This window comes from Homo sapiens, chromosome 15, assembly GCF_000001405.40.
Source record: "Homo sapiens chromosome 15, GRCh38.p14 Primary Assembly".
Lineage (NCBI taxonomy): Eukaryota > Metazoa > Chordata > Mammalia > Primates > Hominidae > Homo > Homo sapiens.
In genome coordinates, this window is record NC_000015.10 from 67334487 (window position 1) to 67353142 (window position 18656).

Here is an 18656-nt window from a genome sequence, read left to right on the forward strand (position 1 = left end):
AACTGCATCCTCTTCTCCACCTGATATAATTTAGTGCTTTATTTAAGATGCAATTTAAATGTCACTTACTGCAGTACATCTTAACTTTGGCTACGCATCAGAATCACCTGGGGAGCTTTCTAGAAATACTGAGGCCCAGGCCCCAGCCTACCTATTCTGAGTTAATTGCCCAGGGTTGGGTCCCAGGGTTGGGGCCCAGGCGGCAGTATTTTTAAAAAGCTCCCTGAGCGATTCTAATATACAGCCAGGGCTGAGAGTCGCTGCAAAGCCTTCTGCAATACAAGCAGGCAGAGTTAATTACTCCCTCTTCTATACTCCTACAGCCCTTAGCTTTTCCATTGCTCATGAAATTTAATGCTCAGCGTGTTAAAGTTAGTGTTATATAGTAAGTGCTCAGTAAATGCTGAAGGTTGTTTCATTCCTTCACCCTCCAACCAAGCATACGCAGAAGTGATTATCCTTACCATGGAAGAGGACAGCAGAGTGGACAGATGTTTCCTATCCAGTGACACTATCTGAGGGATTTATTTCTGTCAACGAAAACACCACCTTCCATTCTCCAACACATACACACACACACACGTGCACACACACACACTACACACACAGTCACCTCACTGCCTTTTCAGCATAGTTCTTCGGTCTGGTTTTTACATTGTTTAGATTGATGCAATTGAAAGAATTAAAGCAGTGTGATGAATGTGCTGATTGCCTGACAGAGTCTGAACATCACTTGCCTACTGTCCTCTCCTTTGTGTCATCCTTTATGTTGTGTTTTATGTTCGATCCTGCTACTTTAGCTTGTCAGAGCAGGTTGTCAGGTGTTCTTTGTCAAAGGCTTTGAGAAAATCCGGATAAATTATCCTCTTTGTCCTGAAACTGCCAAACCTATATTTTACATCATCACAGTGCTTGACAGTTTTATTTAAGTTGAATCTTTCTCTCTTCCTCCGATTTACCTTTGTCTCACTGACCTTTATATCAATCAGACAAGTGGAGACCCTGCCGCTTTTGATATTGAATATTCTCAGCTATGTACATGCCTGCTAGAGCACAGTGCATTGGATATCTCAGCCTTACTGATTAGGAGGAGATCCTGGAAGCTACTCATGTCTGGAGATGAGGTGGGGAGAGGAGAGCTGAGGATAAGGGCAAGAAACCAATGTGGATCAGGAAGACCAGAGTCTCATAATAAATAAATCTTCTTATGAGTCCTGCACTCTCATTAAGGCGAGGCTGGTAGCACCTCCCTTTCCCCTTCTGACTCACCTGGGGAGAAACAGATTGCACTAACAGTCTACTCTTTCCTATTCAAAATACTATTTTTATTTATTTACCAAACATCATCAAAGTGTTTGATGTTCATGGTGTTACCACATCCTGGCAGTGGGGGCCCTAACCCTTTGTCCAGACATTTCTCAGCTAATAGATACTTATTTTGTAAAGTGATTTTCTCCCTCTGGTCTTGATGAAGCTTTCCCTTTCTTTTTCCTTAAAGTCACTATGACCTTAATGGCAATAAGGTATTGTGCAACCGAGTCCAATGGCAAATTTTACCAATGTAAAATCAGATTAATTTCAGAATTGAATAATCTGTGCATATCTAGTATACTGCATGGCCTGAAACAAATTTCTAATCTTTCTGTCTTGAGTTCTTTATTAGTTAAATAGCAAACTGTTACCTAGTTCCCTTGGAAGTTATGTAAATTAATTAATGTTTGGAAAATGACTTGAAAATTCAGTCTATAAATACCAAACTATAAATACCAAAGTTGCATTTTCCCTGCTGAGAGAACCCAGGTAATTCATAAACTCCTACGATAAAGGTAAAAATAGTATAGTTGGACTATACAATCAAATGTGATTTATATGCAATATATGTAATCTTTAAAATCTAGAAACCATTTAATAGAAACAATTCATATTTTGTAACTGTAATAAAAGCATTTTATGACTTTAGGAAAAGTAATTATCTTCTCTAACTGATCTAGATATTGTGTCTTTGTAACCATCTCTGAGATCTGCAAAAGAATCTACCCAGAATTAATATTGATTGACATGTTTATCTTTTAAGTCTTCCAGGTTTTTTGTTTTAACATTAACACTCTAACATTTATTTCCTGGGAAATTTTTTGGTACAAAACTTTGCTGTATTCAAAACCTCCTCTGTCAAGATTTAGCATTTGTATATTGTAGTCATTAAAATTGAACAAAATCTTAATAGTTCTTTTATTAACTACTATGTTGACTTTATATAGTGGAAATCACAACTTGTTAATTGGATTTAATTAACTATTTTAAATTACACAAACTCCTGATGGTAGTAGACAATAGCACAGGGTATTCATGAGCAATAAAATTGGAGCTGATATTGCTACTTTATTAAAACTTAATGCAACTATTCATAACTTTATTTATTGTTTACAAGAAGAAAACTGTTCACTGTGAAGGCAAAAATGTTTGCTGAAACAAATTTTTTATTATCTAGATAAAGGTTTCGAAGTTAATCAAAGGGTCTAACATATCCAGCCTCACGGTTCTGCCATCTTCTCATTGCACAGATCCCTATTTCACTCCTATACCAGTCTTACAAGCAGATGCCCACAAAGGTTAGTGATTCAATAGCCATTTTACGTGTTTAGGAACGGAAAAGAAAGAGCATTGAGGTAGGATCGGAGGCCTGAATTTGGACTCTGGCTCAGCCACTAATTCTCCTGGGTGGCCTCAGACAAGTCAGGTCCTCACTCTGGTCTGAGTTTCCTGCTCTGTAAATTAAAAGGTTGGACAAGACGATCACTAGAGTCCCTTCCACCTGTAAAATTCATCATTCTATGGATTTAATATTGATTTAGATGGTGTTATTACCTATTAAAATGATCATTGTGTTTATGTGATAGCATTAGAATTTATTAAGTTTCTGAGCAGATCATTTTTGATATATTATTCTGGTAGCATTTTAAAAATTTATTTCAATACCCTATTATAAGGAAATATGAAGCCAGAATTAATGTAATTAGTGTTTAAACTATGCATGTTTTAGTCTAAACTCTAGTCTTGTGAAACCAGTGGATTTTGTTTTTAAGCAAAGGATTTCATCTTTATCTCAGTATCTCTAGCACCTAGAACCATATCCAGCATTTTGTAGATACTAAGTGTAGATTGAGTGAATAAGAAAATGAAAGAATAAGCAAGCGAGTGACCAAATACTGAATGTCCTAAGTGTAACCATCTCTACTGTTCCCTGCTATTTAATTTAATTGACCAAAGTGTTAAAAAATGCCTAAGTGGATCCCTTTCCTATCTCAAATATAACTTAGTGAGACGGTCTTTAATTATTCCTTATCTCGCCTTCTATCTGTTGTCTGGAATTTTTAGGACCCAAAGCTGGTTCCCAAAGGTTCTTCTGCCACCTGGAAATTCAAAGTCCTCCAGCTTCTAGCTACTGCATCTTCTGTCTGCTGGTGGTAGATAACCTGAGATCATTATAAATCTCTGGATTTGTTAAGCTTCTCACAACTTTCCTGGTTATAAACCATTGTTCAGCAATCTTTGTGACATATGCTTTCTAGTTAGCTTATGTAATATTTACTTCCTGGGAATACTGAATAACACCAGCAGAGTGTTCCCATTTCTTGCTTTAATACCATCTTATATTCTTCCTGAACCAAATTAGGATGAATGAAATAGTGAATGAATGAATGAATCGATATATCTGTCTGTCTATCTATCTATCTATCTATCTATCTATCTATCTATCTATCTGTCTGCTCTGCTTTAGCAATAGAGACAATAAAAAAATGCCACAAAATAAAAGTAAATGTAGAATTTTGGCAACTTCATCCAGAAAAAAAATCACATTTTCATTTCTAAATTATCTTCATGAGAACACATGGCCTACTGTCATATTAGGGATTAATAAATTAATCGGCATATATTTATTGAGTACTTGCAATATGTCTGGTATTGTGCAAGATACTATGAATGTCAGGAAGCCACAAGCCACAGAAATATAAATACAGTGTCTATATTTTTTTAGGTGTTTCTGATGCCCTTAAATGTTGTTTTAGCCTCACCCCAGATCTACACAGGTCCAGAATGAGGTGAAAGACTAATAACATGCAGAAGAGAGAATCATTTTGAAAAATGAACTTCAAACTTTCCTACTTTTTCTTGAATACCTGGCTAAATCCAAAAAAGAAAGCTTTGCCCCACCCCTCCAAATGGTTAAGAATACAAGTTTTACATTACATAGACCAAATTTCAGTTTGGCTCTGTGACTTGAGGCAAATTGCTCTCTGATCTTAGAAGAAACTCTGAACTCTATGAACAAGGTGTGCTTGATCTGGCCCTCACCTACATCTCCATTTCTCATCTCACTCAGCTCTCTCTATACTTAGCCACCTAGGCCTTCGCTCTCATCTCTCATCTTTATCAGGCCAAGCACATTTGCAGATCAGGCTTTCACAAGTGCCTTTTCCTCTGCCAGTAAAGGTCACTTCCTCAAGCACCTGCCCTTTTCCTTCAGAGATTATCACAATTTATCATAATATATTTATTTTAAATCTATTTAATATCTTCTTTACCAGTTGAGGCTCCATGAGGTCTTTTTGGTTCACCACTGCATCCCCAGCCCCCAGAATAGTTGTTGACACATAATAGGCACTTTATTAGTTAAACGAATGACAGAATGAATGAACTTCCAATTCTTAATCTATTCAACAGGAAAGTAAGGGTGGATTTAATAAAACATGGTGTTTTATTAAACATGGATGAGGATTTAATAAAACAATGGTGTTAAAGGATAACTTTCAAAAACAGCTAAAATCATGACTCTCATACAAACATAAAATGAACACAGGTCAAAGATTTTTATTTAATTCATCAGTTAACAACCAGTTCAAAAGAAAATCCAAAGAATGGACACATTTGTAGATCAAGAATACTGAAGTAAATTTGCAAATAAATGCAAAATTGGATTTCCCATGAGGAGAATTCCCCTTCACCAGACAGAATTTATTTTCATGTCTATAGATAAGAATTATTTGCATTATGATCAGTTATTTACAAAGTAACCTCAATATCTACAGAGTTGTAAGTAGCCTAATCAAAGGCTAGGCTCAGATATTCACTGGAGACTTCAGGACTCTATTAAAAGGATATCCAGTGATCCCATTTGCTTATTCTAAAACTTAAAAAAATTCTTACAATCTTCTCCCCTTTTGACGAAAACAATCTCAAAAACCAAAAATTCACAGAATAAGGCTGGTCTCAGTAGGTTTGGCCTGATAATTTACATAGGTGGGGCAAGAATGTTCATTTACCATATAAGCCACCTTACATTTGCTTTGTTGGAAGTTTTTGTAGAGAATCTCAGCCTGAATAAAATCCCCTATTATTTGCTATCCCAAGACTAGAAAATCAAGCCCAAGAAACTCTGTTCATCAGATTTCAACTGCAGGACCTATAAATTTGGGTAAATTTCTCTCTTCTAGAAGTCCTCCAAATATCCTAAAGTTCTTAGGGCTATAGCATGTGACCTTCCTTACCACCTATAAGGCTGAAAATCATGTAAGCCATATACCAGGCTAGTTTTTCTGGGAGGACCTTGTAAGCATTGGCTCTATAACGCATCAACCTTGATTCTTTAAAAGTGACTCGTCGGCCAGCACATTGGTTCACACCTGTAATCCCAGCACTTTGGGAGGCCAAGGCGAGCAGATCACCTGAGGTGAGGAGTTCAAAACCAGCCTGGCCAACATGGCAAAACCTCATCTCTACTAAAAATACAAAAATTAGCCAGGTGTGATGGCGGGCACCTGTAATCCCAGCTACTCTGGAGGCTGAGGCATGAGAATTGCTTGAACCCGGGAGGCAGAGGTACAGTGAATCAAGATCGTGACACTGCACTCCAGCCTGGGCAACAGAGAGATACTCCATCTCAAAAAAAAAAAAAAAAAAAAAAAAAAAAAAAAAAAAAACAGTAACTTGTCATACCTGATTAAATAAACATTATTCTCAAATATAAAATTCTAGGCAAGGCCTTGGTTGAATAGTGATTTTTCTAGTTATGTCTTAGTACAAAGAGAGCAGCACTGAAACTATGTAAATTACTATATTGCCATGAAAAGTAGAGACTCAATCAGAGTTTCTGAATTTGGGAGGTCCAGGGAGCACATTCAAAGTATTACAAGTTTGATTTCTTTATTTTCTGGTAATTTTATGAATATTCAATTTATATAAACACTTATTTATCTCTACAAGCCAATCAGAACAGAATTCCTTTATGATCTAATTTATTAATGCCATCTGGAGACAGGAAAACATTCTGCACTCACAATGGGAGATAAGGAACTTCCTGAATTACAGATACAAAGACATACAGATAGAGTGTATATCCTCAATTCTACCATTTCAGCCACAGATAGAGAATAAACACAAGTGGCCAGGCGCAGCGGCTCATGCCTCTAATCCCAGCACTTTGGGAGGCTGTGAAGGTAGACGGATTGCTGGAGTCCGGGAGTTTGAGACCAGCCTGGGCAAAATGGCAAAACCGCAACCCCGACAAAAAAATACAAAAATGAGCCGGGTATGGTGGTGAACCTGTAGTCCCAGCTACTCAGAAGGCTGAGGCGAGAGGATGGCTTGAGCCCTAGAGGCGGAGGTTGCAGTGAACTGAGATCATGCCACTATACTCTAGCCTGGGCTACAGAGTGTCTAAAAAAAATAAAAATAAAGAAAGAAAGAAAAAGAGAGAGAAAATAAACACAGAAACACAAAAAAGCTTACCAGTCCAGATATCAAAGAGTTGTTCTCCTTCCTTGTGAACAAGAAATTCCTAATTTGAGCTCAAAATAGACAGATGGACAAAAACTAACAAACTGTATTCTCTATAAGACATTAGATCATTTCCAGAGATCACCAAATTCCCAATCATGGCAGCTGCCAACAGGGAATAACTTGCCATCCATAAATGAACTAAAAAGAAAAACAAATTAATAGAGAGTAAAATTAAAATTAGAAAAACAAGAAACTTTAAATTAACCTGTGGGGGCCAAGAAAAATCATGCCTGGGCTTGGCTTCCTGTGAGATACATCATTTCTGATTACTTCAGGTGACCGTTTTGCTCATCTCAGTGGGATCTCCAAAATGTTAAAGGATGATTTTTTTTAAAAGTAAAGTTATGACTCTTATATAAATATAAAATGAACACATGTCAAAGATTTTATTAGCTTATTAATTAAGTGAGGGAGCTAGTAAGATGTTACAGTAAATTCAAAGGACAATCCAAATAGACACATTTATAAATCGAGAATATTTAAATAAATTTGCAAATGGATGCAAAACTGGCTTTTCAGGGAGTGGTCCTTCCATGTGTAAGAATTTAAATTTGCATGTGTATAAACAATAATTAGTGACATTCTTATCAGATTTCTACAAATGAACCTTAATCTTTACAGAATTATAAAATGGACAATTAAAAACAAAGATGCAGAGTGGCTCACACCTGGCACAGTGGCTCACACCTATAATCTCAGCACCTTGGGAGGCCAAGGCAGGAAGATTGCTTGAAACCGGGAGTTCAAGACTAGCCTGGACAATATAGCAAGACCTAGTCTCTACATTAAAAAAAAAAAAGCCAGACATGATGGTGCTATTCCAATAGTTTAAGCTACCAAGGATAAGGCAGGAGGATCACTTTAGCCCAGGTATTCAAGGGTGCAGTGAGCTATGATGGTGCCACTGCACTCCAACCTGATCAACAGAATGAGACCCTGTCTCTAAAAAAGCAAAACAAAACAAAGATGCATACAGAGTCCTGTAGGACTGTAGGTCAGATAATCTTCAGAGATTCCAGCATTTCAATGAAAAGATACTCAGTAATCTCTTCTGCTTGTTCGAAAATCTTAATTTTTTCCTTCCAATAGTAGATGGGCACACATATGTGTTTGTCTGAAATTAGGATAATTGCTTCAACCAGCACTAAAGCAAGGGTTGAAATCGTGCTTATAGTCTTCAGAATTCTCAGAAAATGAAACTGACTCTTGAAATGAAAAATATATTAAATTATAAGGAGACCTGTTTTTCACATCTGCAAAACAGAGTTCTTGGAAATGAAATTTGATATTTATAGGTGGAAAATATTTGTGAGGACAAAGAATTAGTCTTACAAGATTTTTAAAGTAGTTCAATCTAGTGTTATAAAAATTAAAACCTGAAGTACTAATTTCAAAAAGGTCCTAAAGTGTTATACTCTGGATCAGTAATTCTTAAGTGTTAAGAGTACAAAAGATTAACCTGGAGTGCTTATTTAACATGTATGTTACTGGGCCCCAATTCTAGTGGTTCTCTAACTTCAGCGCACATGAATATCTCCTGGAGCCTTCAATAATGCAGATTCCCAGGCCCTGTCCTCAGAAGTTTGGACAGGTTGAGTTGGGGCCCAGGCATCTCCGCTTTTAATAACAAATTCTTCTCCTAAATGATTCTTCAGTAAGTAAACTGAAGATTTCTCTTTGAAATCAGTGTTTTACAAGTGAACTATTTTTCAGCTCTCCAACCCTTCAGTGATCATTCTACTGAATTCCTATAACACTAGACTAACATTCTTAATAGTAATATAGTATAGAGGTCATAAGGTAAATAGAAATAGCATTGGTCCCTCTTAGAAGGGACCAAGTTGTGTGCCAAATTCTTCAACTTAGGCCAACTTGAATACACAGTTTGTATTCTAGGATTTTGTTGAGACCCAGAGCTCTTTACTTACTTTCTATTATGTAAAAGAGCAACAAGAAACTGAAGCCCTACCACAAATTTATTGCAAGTAGTCCCCAAGTTTTAGGTTTCTGGCTTCAACACAGTAGATCCACCTTAACAAAAGTTTTCCCTCTAACAGCAGGCTTGGGTCAATCATTCATTGACTTATTCATTTGTTTATTTATTTAATGATGTCTCTTATCCTTCAAAAGATTTGGCACCAGCCATGCTAACACAGTATGAATGCTAGGAATTGTAAATTAGTTACATTAATACTAACCATTTTGCCCAGTTGTATTAAAATAACCTATCTGAGCATTAATGTTTCTGGTGATATGAGAAATGTCTAAAAATAACTCCTTATTTGATAAAGCATGACTGATTATACAACAGGGGCATGGTTTCAAGTACACAGATTTCCTTCTTTTGGAACAAAGGATCTCCTTAGTTATTAAGAATCTGTGCCTGATTTCTCTGAATTTTAAAAAGAGTAATAATATTACCAATGATTGAAAATATCATAAGTATAAAGAAGTTTTAGTTTGCCTTGAAATTATATTTCCACCTTAAAATGAAATTACTTTAGTGCAATTTTATTTCATATTACTGCCATTGGAAATGACATTTTTCCTTGGGTTAGAATATTACATTTAAATGAATGTGTACTGTAGCTATTTTTTTATGCAAAGGATTAAGGCACTAGATGTACCCTCACAAATAAGATGATGAATGGAGTAAGTTACACTTGTGAAATTTATAGAGCTCAGACTTTGTGGAATTGCTTGGAATTAAACTCACATTTTATTAATGTTTCTTTTTAGGGATTTTAAGTATGATAGAACGAGGGCTGATTCCACCAACAGCAAGGATTACCTTTCAGAATCCACCCATTACACCCAGAGCAGCTCCTCTGCATAGTTTTGATGAAGCACGTAAGATTCCAACTGTAGGTAAGATACTCATGCATCTCAGTTCAGTTGGGGACACACAGAAATTATCTCTGCCCCAGATCTAGCCTTCTAGTAGCCAACTTTTGTCCTCAATAATAGGACAAGATGAAAGTTGTAATCATCCTGAGTTTCACTACATTCCCACAGTCAGCTATTTCTTCTATAATTCTATTTACAATATATTTCCATTTCACTTTGAGCACTATCAGTTTTCATTCTTCTGGCGTACTTTTAACCTCCTTAACCAACTCTGTCTTTCATTTGTACATTTTTTGTGAAAAAAAGATGATGTGGATTTATCACTGGGAGTCAAAGAGGCAATACTACTACATTCTTTAGTCTGTATGCAAACTCAAAAACAGATGCACAGTGACCAATGACTGACAGACTTTGAATGGAATGACTTGAATGGTCACTGACCTTGATATGCATCTGTCACTTATGTAGTGATTTGTGGAATAGAGTTCTAGCAGCAAATTTATATTTTATGCAATTACAATTTTATGGTAACTGGAATTTGAACTATGTTGGGGTACTGATGTTATTTAACTAAACTGTAATACTAGAATTTGTACATACTGGAACAGTCCAAAGTGAAGGCTATCTTTACATTAAGTGTGAATGTTCTAAATACACCAATTAAAAGACAGAGATTGTCAGATTGGATAAATAAGCAAGACCCAACTGTATGTGGTCTCTAAGAATTGCAATTTAAATGTCAAGACAGATAGGTTAAAATAGGAGTAGGGTGAGAAGTGACAAATCTTTCTATAGAAGAATTCCAAATAATGTATTTATTTTTATTTATTTGTTTTGAGATGGAGTTTCACTCTTGTTGCCCAGACTAGAGTGCAATGGCGCAATCTTGGCTCACTGCAACCTCTGCCTCCTGGATTCAAGCGATTCTCCTGCCTCAGCCTCCCAAGTACCTGTGATTACAGGCACCCATCACCACGCCTGATTAATTTTTTGTATTTTTAGTAGAGATGAGGTTTCACCGTGTTGGCCAGGCTGGTCTCAAACTCCTGACCTCAGGTGATCCACCCGCCTTGGCCTACCAAAGTGCTGGGATTACAGCCATGAGCCAGCGCGCCCAGCCCCAAATAATTTAAACAGTTACCTCCTCCTCCAGGAAATGAAGCTTATTTATCCACCCCTCCCTTCTCTTTGAATGTGAGTTGGATTTAGTGATTCACATCCAAAATAGAGTACGGAAAGAAGAAAAACAGAAAATTCGCAATGGAGAAACCTGCAAACCCTGCCTTAACCAAATGACCAAGGATAATATCATTAGTCATAATTCATGTTGATATCATGTGCCCCCTAATATGACACGATGAGGAAGGACTTCACCTTTATGTTATTCTGCCCCAACAACCTATAACTACAGAAAAACTATGAGAAAAACATCAGACAAACCCAAATTTCAGGCATTCTACAAAATACCTGACCATACTCCTCAATACTGTCACGGTCATGAAAACAGGGAAAGACTGACAAACTGTCACAGACCAGAGGAGCCTAAGGAGACATGATGACTAAATACAATGAGATATCCTGGAAAAGATCCTGGAACAGTAAGAAGACAAGAGTGTAAAAACTAGTAAAATCTGAATGAAGTCTTGAGTTTAGTTAATAATAATGTATCAATGATGGTTTCTTGCTTTTGACAAATGGACCGTGGTAATGGAATATGTTAACATTAAGGGAAACTGAATGAAGGTATACAGGACCGTTCTAGATCATCTTTGCAACTTTTCTGTATCTAAAATTATTCCAAAATAAGAAGTTTATATATTTTTAATTCAAAAATAAATTATAGGACTAGACACAAATTAAATGTAAATTAAAAATTAATAAAAAGGAGAAAGATGGAAAAAGATACCATACAAACAATAATGAAAAGAAAGCTGGAATGGCTCTATTACTATCAGATGAAGACACATTAACAGGAATAAAGAGGCACATTAATGATAAAAGGATCAATCCAGCAAGAAGACATACATTCCTAAATGTGTATTTACTTAAAAACAGAAATATAAAATACATGAAGCAAAAATTAATAAAACAGAAATAATAAATCCAGAATTATATCTCACAATAATCAATAGAACTAGTAACCCCCCCCCAAAAAAATACTATAGAACAGTGGTCCCCAACCTTTTTGACACCAGGGACCAGTTTTCTGGGAAATAATTTTTCCACAGACAAGAGGTGGGGAGGAATAGTTTCAGGATGGAACTGTTCCACCTCAGATAATCAGGCATTCGATTCTCATAAGGAGCATGCAGCCTAGATCCCTCATATGTGCAGTTCACAATAGGGTTCTTGCTCCTATGAAAATCTAATGCTGCTGCTGATCTGACAGGAGGCATGAACTCAGATGGTAATGCTTGCTCACCTGCCACTTGCCTCCTGTTGTGTAGCTCAGTTCCTAATGGGCCACAGTACCCAGTCTGTGGCTTGTGGGTTAGGGACCCCTGCTATAGAAGACTATGATAGAACGGTATTATAGGCCATGTAGACCATTATAGAGCATTAAAACACAACAGAACATGCATTTACTTCAAATGCACATGGAACATTCACCAAAATAGACCATATTCTGGACCATAAAACAAATATTAACCAATTTAAAATAGTTAAAATCTTACACATTATGTTCTCTGACCTTAACAGAATTAAACTAAAAAGTAGAAAATCCCCCAAATGCAAAAACACACTTCTAAATAACCCGTGGATCAAAGAGGAAGTCACAAGGATATTAAAAAAATATTTTGAATTAAATGGGAATGACCACACAACATATTGAAGTTTGTAAGATGCAGCTAAAGTAGTGCTTAAGAAAAATTTTTAGCATTAAATACTTTTATTAGAAAAGAAGAAATATCTCAGATTAATGATCTAAGCTCCCACTCTAAAAAACCAGAAAAAGAAAAGCAAATTATACCCAAGCAAGCAGCAGATGGAAATAATAGAGACAAAAGTAGAAGTCAGTGAAATGGAAAATAGAAAAAAAAAAAAAAGGAATTCAGTGAAACCAAACTGTGTTTCATGGAACATTTTTATAAAATTGGTAAGCCTCTAGGCAGACTAACCAAGATTAAAAGAGAGAAGGCACAAATGACCAGTATCAGGAACAAAAGAAGAGACATCATTACAGATCCTATAGACATTTAAAAGATGATAAGAGAACATTATAAACAACTTTATGCCTATAATGTTGACAGTTTATATTGATGGACAAATTCTTTGAAAGACAGATACTACCTAAGCTCACTCCAGAAGAAATAGATAACCTGATTAGTCCTACATTTATTAAAGAAATTGACTTAGTACTTAAAAACATTGTAAGAAAAAAAATGATACCATATGGCATCACTGGTGAATTCTACCAAACAATTAAGAAAGAAATATTATCAATGTTGCAGAAATTCTTCCTGAAAAATAGAATAGAAAGAAACACTTCCCAGATAATTTTATGAAGCTATCATCACCCTGACACCACAACCAAAGACTTTAGAAAAAAACTACAGCCCAGTATTCTTTATGAAAATAGATACAAAAGTCCTTCACAAAATATAGCAAATTGAATCTAGTGCTCTGTCTATATATATATATAGATATATATTTATATATAGATATATAGATATTTTTATATATTTATATATCTATATATTTATATATAGATATATATGTTTATATATATAGAGAGAGATTATGTATTTTATATATATTACATCATGACCATGTGGGGTTTATCCTAGGAATGCAAGGCTGTTTCAACATTTAAATATCAATCATTGTAAGTCACCATATGAATAGACTGAAGAAGAAAAACTATATAACCATCTCAATTTAAAAAAAATCAACATCCATTTGTATCAAAAGCTCTAAGAAAATTAAGAATCAAGGGAACTTCCTCAAACGGATAAAAGATGTCTACAACTAATATCACAATAGTGTTTGAATGAATGCTTTTCACCTAAGATCAGGAACAAGACATGGTTGTGCACTCTCACCACTTCTATTCAACATTGTACTGAAGTTCCTAGCCAATGCAGTGAGGTAAGAAAAAGAAACAAAAGACATGCAGATTGGAAAGGAAGAAATAAAACTCTCTTTGCAAACAGCACAATTACTGCATAGAAATTCGCAAGCCATCACACACACACACACACACACACACGCACACACAAAAGCTACTAGAACTAACAAGGAAGTTCAGCAAGGTTTGAGGACACAAGATTAACATACAAAAATAAATTGAATTTCAATTTGTTAGAAATGAACAATTGGAAATCGAATATTAAAAAAATACCATTAACATAACAACAAATATTAAATACTTAGGTATAAAGCTAACAAATATTTGCAAACCTATGGATGCTGGATGCTATAAAACACTAATGAAAAAATTAAAAGAAGACCTAAGTAAATTAGAAAGATTAGCCATGTTCATAGATTAGAAGACTAAATATTTTTGTAATTAATTTTCCCCAAATTGATCTATAAATTCAATGCAGTCCCAATCAGGATCTCAGTAAGATTTTTTGTAGAGATTGAAAAGCTGATTCTAAAGTTTGTGGAAAGGGCAAGGAGCTACAATAGCTAGTACAATTGTGAAAAAGGAAAACAGCATTGGAGGACTCTTGTTATCTGAGTTAATATAAAGCTACAGTAATCAGGACCGTGTGGTATTGGCAAAAGGATAAACACAGAGATCAATGGAACAGAATAAAGAGTACAGAAATAGAACCACACATACTTGGTCAATTCATTTTTGACAAAGATGCAAAGGCAATTCAATGGAGAAGGCATAATTTTTTCAACAAATTGTGCTGGAAGAACTGGACATGTATATAAAAGGGAAAAAAAGAACCTTAACCCATTCCTTGCACCATGTACAAAAATTAACCCAAAATGGTTTATAAAATTAAATATACAGCCTAAGCTATAAAACTTTTGGAAGAAAACAAAGGGGAAAATTTTTTGTGTTCTTGAGTTAGGCAAAGGTTTCTTACGTACCACACCAAAGGCAAAATCCATAAAATGAAAAACTGGATACATTGGACTTCATCAAAATTAAACATTTATACTCTTTGGAACACAGTGTTAAGAAAATGAAAAGAAAAGCTATAGATTGGCCAGGCACAGTGGCTTATGCCTGTAATCCCACCACTTTGGGAGGCCAAGTTGGGTGGATCACTTGAGGTCAGGAGTTTGAGACCAACCTGGCCAACATGGTGAAACCCCGTCTCTACTAAAAATACAAAAATTAGCCAGGCGTGGTGGTGGGTACCTATAATCCCAGCTACTTGGGAGACTGAGGCTTGAGTCCAGGAGGCAGAGGTTGCAGTGAGCCGAGATTGCGCCATTGCTCCAGCCTGGGCAACAAGAGCAAGACTCCATCTCAAAAAAAAAAAAAAAAGGAAAGAAAGAAAAGCTATAGATTGAGAGTTAATATTTTAAAACAATAACTGATCATGTATTTTTATCCAGAACATATAAAGACTCTTAAAACTCAGTGATAAGAAACAAACAACCCAATAACATAACAGACAAAAGACATGAGCAGACACTTTACCAAAGGAGATATATGGATAGTAAATAGATACATGAAAGCATGCTTAACATCATTAGTCATTAGAGAAATGCAAATTAAAACCACAGTGGGATACCACTACATGAGGATATGGAACAATTGCAACTCTCATTCCTTGTTGGTAGGGATGCAAAATGGTACAAACACTTTGGAAAACAGTTTGGCAGTTATTTATAAAGTTAAACATGCATTTACTGTATGACCCAACAATCTCACTCCTAGTTATCTATTTACCCAAGATAAATGAAAACATATTTACACAAAAACCTGTATATGAAGGTTTGTAATATATGAATGTTGCTTTATTCATAATCACCAAAAACTGGAAACCACTCAGATGTCTCAGCTGATGAATTGAGGTACATCCATACAATGGAGTACAGCTTGCTCTAAAAAGGAACTAATTGCTGATACATGCACAATACAGATGAATCCCAAATGCATTATGCGAAGTGAAAGAAGCCAAACTCAACAGGCTACACACCATATGATTCTATTTACATGACATTTTTAGAAAATGAAACAATGAAGACAGAAAACAGATCAAGAGTTGCCTGGGGATGGGGAGAGTAGTTGACTGTAAAAGGGGCATGCAGGAATTTTGGCAGGTATTGGAATTGTTTTTGTTTTTTTGTTTTTGTTTTTTTGAGAATGGAGTCTCGCTCTGTTGCCCAGGTTGGAGTGCAGTGGTGTGATCTCGGTTCACTACAACCTCCGCCTCCCAGGTTCAAGCAATTCTCCTGCCTCAGCCTCCCAAGTAGCTGGGACTACAGGCGCCCGCAACCACACCCAGCCAATTTTTCGTATTTTCAGTAGAGATGGGGTTTCGCCATGTTGGCCAGGATGGTCTCAATCTCCTGACCTCGTGATCCACTCGCCTAGGCCTCCCACAGTGCTGGGATTACAGGTGTGAGCCACCGTGCCTAGCCTGGAATTATTTTATATCTTGATTGTGGTGATGGTTATATGACTTACACATTTGCCAAAACTTATAAAAGTATACACTAAAAAAGGGTGAATTTTACTGTATGTAAGTAGTAACTCAGTAAGTCTGACTTTTAGAAAGAATAATGGGGGAGGGACACCTGCTTGACATGAAAGGAAAGCATAGGGAGCTGTACGCAAAGCTGGAGAAGTGGAATTCTAAGGAGATGGCCTGTATGCATCAAACTAGAGATGCCAGGGCCCTCCCTGAAATACTGAATTAGAGTCTTGAAGTAGATATGCTGCACATCACTGAATTCATTTCTTTTGGCTGCTGTAGAATATTCCATTTTGTTTGTTTGTTTATTTTACTTTAAGTTCTGAGATACATGTGCTGAACGTGCAGGTTTGTTACATAGGTATTTATGTGCCATGGTGGTTTGCTGCACCTATCAACCCATCATTTAGGTTTTAAGATCTGCACGCATTAGGTATTTGTCCTAATGCTCTCCCTCCTGCTTCCCCCCACCCCCCAACAGTCCCTGGTGTGTAATGTTCCCCTCCCTAAGTCTGTGTGTTCTCATTGTTCAGCTCCCATTTATGAGTGAGAACATACAGTGTTTGGTTTTCTGTTCCTGTGTTAGTTTGCTGAAGGTGATGGTTTGAATAGACCATAGTTAATTTATCCAGTCTTCTGTTGATGGACTTTTGGGTTGATTTCATCCTTTGGTATTGTGAACAGTGCTGCCGTGCATTCCTTCACGTTTCCTACTGAGTATGCACAAGCGTTTTTCTTGGTCAATATGAGTGGAAATGTTGGTCATGGGGTAGGCGAACATTCAACTTTAGAAAGTAATGCCAAACTGTCTTTTAAAGTCATTGCATCAATTTACATTTCTACCTTCAGTGTGTAAGATACTCTGTGGATTCACATCCTTGCCAACTCTTACTATAGTTATTATATCTTACTAGTAAATGGGAACTTTTATCATTGCACACTGTCCTTCATTATCTCTATAATTGCTTTTTAGCATAAATAGCATTTTGTCTGTTAATATAGCCACATCAGCTTCCTTTTGGTTATTGTTTGCCTGGCATATCTTTTCTCATTTTTTTACTTTTAATCTTTCTGTAGCAATATGTTTTAAGTCTGTCTTTTATAAATAGTATATAGCTGAATTTAAAAAAAAATCATTCTGACCATCGTTATCCATTTAGCATTTACTGTATTTACAGTTATTCTAATTACTAATATATTTTGATAATATTTCTTCCATCTAGACTGTTTCTGTTTGTGCCTTGCCCTGTTTTGTTGCTATTTCATTTTCTTTCCTTTATTGTCTTCTTTTGAATAGATTATTTTTCCTCATTATACTTTTATTCCTCTATTATTTTGGAATTGATACATTCCTTTTATATTCTTATTGTGATTAGCTTCTTATTTTCACATGCATATATTACTTATCAAAGTCTAAAGTTAATAAATATCTGTACTTTTCCCTTTAACAGTATAAAAACCTCAGAACATTTTAACTCCATCTCCCTCCTGATGTAACATCTATTTTTCTTATGTATTTTAGTTGTATCTTTTTAAAAAAACCCACAAGACATTATTGTTAATGTTTTTTATGTAATCAGAATTTGTTATATTAGCCAACAGATTTGTCACTGTCTTTGCTCTTCATTCCTTGTTGCATCTCTGACTTTCAATACTGCATTCACTTCCATCTCCCTAAATTATATTCTTTCAATTTCCACTAGTACAAGCCTGTTTCTGCTGGTGGTAAACTCTTTCAACTTTTATTTGCCTCAAAATGTGTTTATGTCCTGACTTTTGAAAGTTATCTTGTCAGCACATTCAATATATTATTTCATTGTTTTCTAGCAATTATATCTGCTATTGAGGAGCCTGTGGACTATTGAGGAGTCAGTGGTAGATAGTGGCTAAAATTGTGGATGAAAACAATTTGTCTTTTGTTTCCTCTCTAGTTGAAATAAGTTCTTTTTGTCTTTTGTGTTCTACAGGTTCATTGTGATGCATCTAGGCATATAGGTCTTTTTATTTATCCTGCTTTGTATTTATTGGGATTCTTGAATCTGTAGACCAATGTCTTTCATCACTTCTGAGCAACCTCATCCATTGTTTATATGCATTTAGTAGAAAACAGGAACATTCCAGTACTTTGGGAGGCTAAGGTGGGTGGATCACGAGGTCAAGTGTTCAAGACCAGCCTGACTAAAATGGTGAAACCCCGTCTTTACTAAAAATACAAAAATTAGCCAGGCGTGGTGGTGCGCACCTGTAATCTCAGCTACTCAGGAGGCTGAGGCAGGAGAATTGCTTGAACCCAGGAGGCAGAGGTTTCAGTGAGCCAAGATTGCTCCACTGCAATCCAGCCTGAGTGACAGAGCGAGACTCAGT

General features: G+C 36.0%; 1 protein-coding gene across 11 annotated transcripts in view; it reads left to right on the forward strand.

Moving 5' to 3' along the window:
• Positions 1-18656, forward strand: part of IQCH (IQ motif containing H) — a 247019-nt gene that overhangs the window by 79701 nt on the left and 148662 nt on the right. For 7 of the 11 annotated variants that reach the window (NR_147832.2, NM_001322475.2, NM_001284348.2 and 4 more), the window contains one exon: positions 9577-9705. The exons of 3 other annotated variants lie outside the window; for them this stretch is intronic. Coding sequence is in view for 6 of the 8 variants with exons in the window: in NM_001322475.2 (NP_001309404.2) it covers positions 9588-9705 (118 nt within the window). In the remaining 2 variants the exon portion in view is untranslated. Of the gene's footprint in view, positions 1-2488; positions 2610-9576; positions 9706-18656 lie in introns of all 11 variants that reach the window. One more of the 11 variants, NM_001031715.3, reaches the window with a different exon arrangement.